The 1,582-nt window shown below is 41.8% G+C and overlaps 1 annotated feature.

Moving 5' to 3' along the window:
* Nucleotides 575–1,259: an enhancer, noted in NCBI's record as "OCT4-NANOG hESC enhancer chr4:137202470-137203154 (GRCh37/hg19 assembly coordinates)". NCBI's record gives its function as "activates a minimal SCP1, AML or CMV promoter by ChIP-STARR-seq in primed H9 embryonic stem cells {active_cell/tissue: H9 hESC(primed)}" and the evidence as "EXISTENCE:reporter gene assay evidence [ECO:0000049][PMID:30033119]".

A 1,582-nucleotide genomic window follows, 5' to 3' on the forward strand; every position in this document is an offset into this window, starting at 1 on the left:
ATAAATTAATGAATAGTTCTTGCTCACTAAAACGACCAAAATAGTATTTTTTTTTAACTTTCAGTTAGACATAAAGAGCTTGTAAGTTACCACTCCAGTCCGCACAGTAAGAGAAAAGCTGAACAAATTGAAAATCAACAACTCTCCTTTGATCCATCAGATAATTGATGCCACAGGAGCAAACTTTTTCTCTCTAATCTCACAGAATTCTCACAAAATACTCGTAAAAACACTAGGTATCTTTTTAGCCTTTGACACCACAGCTACCTAATCCCTAGCCAGATAAATATAAAATATCAAATTAAAGGCCTGTTTACCTGAGTTCCTTTTACCTGGCATCTGGCTTTCAACAAAAACTTACTGATACGGCTCCGATGAGTGGAGGAACACCAAGGTTCTTGGTCCTCATGCCAGCTTAGACAAAACGACACGGACATACGTGGAGCGGTTTTAAGGAGCCCAGAGTTTAGTAGGCAAGATAGAAGTGGGAAGAACAAAGGAAGAAGCTCCCCTGTACAGAGACAGAGGCAGGGGGTCTCCAAAGCACAGAGCGGGAACCCCACCTGCCATGGATATGAGCCAGGTATATGTAGAGGCTGGAGGAGGTGGTGTTTGATTTGCATAGGGCTCAGGAGATTGGTTTGACCAGGCATGTCATTCATGTAGCCCGCGAAAAAACTGGCCTTCCAACCCTAGCCTTATAATATGCAAATGCACGGCGCCATGAAGTTCTACACACTGGGGTTTTGTGGGGGCTGCCATGTCGCCAGGCACATGTGGGGCAAGGACAAGAAGAAGAAGGTGGGAATCACCATGTTTGGGTGGACCCAGTTTCTAATGGCTGGCATTTGCATATCAAAGGTTGCCCGCCTGGCTCTAAGAGCCAGGGCTTTACAAAAAACTTTTCCAGAGATGCTTTAAAAAAATGAAAACTTCCCAAGGACTCCTTTTCCCCTATTTACCTACAACAATTTCTTAATAACTACAATAACATTACAAGGCATGTTAAAAGGCAGTATCAGGGCCAGAAGAAAATTTCCACTTTGCCCTCTGAAGATTTACTGAAAATCAACTCACAAAGGGCAGATTAATAGAAAAAGAGGCATGCAAAATGTATTAACATACACGTGTGTGTAGGAGTTAAAACACAAAAACTCAAAAGAGGGGGGCTACATGGTTGACACTTTTATACTATCTTGAGGTTAAAAATAAGGGCATGGTGCTCAGCAAGGCAGGTTATGGGAGGGAGAGAAGAGAAAAGGCATGGCTAGCAAAGGTGGTCTTGTTATGCAGATAAAGTCTTACAGGTAGCAGCCCTTAGAAAAGAAGGTAGCCTGTGGTTGAATTAATTTATCTGAGATCTGAACAAAGGCGAGATCTCAGAGAAAGTCTTGTTGTTTAAGTCACTGATGTAGACTTTTCTCTACAAATGTAAATATCCTCCACAAAAGGCTGCTTTTCAGGGCTGTTGTTGTCTGTCTACCCTCTGAATAGCTATCTCAAAATATGGCAAGGAAGTGTATTTGGCAATAAAATATTTCTGGTATCCTTTAGCTGAAATCACAGTCTAAAGAGACAATCC

This window comes from Homo sapiens, chromosome 4 (genome assembly GCF_000001405.40).
Source record: "Homo sapiens chromosome 4, GRCh38.p14 Primary Assembly".
NCBI lineage: Eukaryota > Metazoa > Chordata > Mammalia > Primates > Hominidae > Homo > Homo sapiens.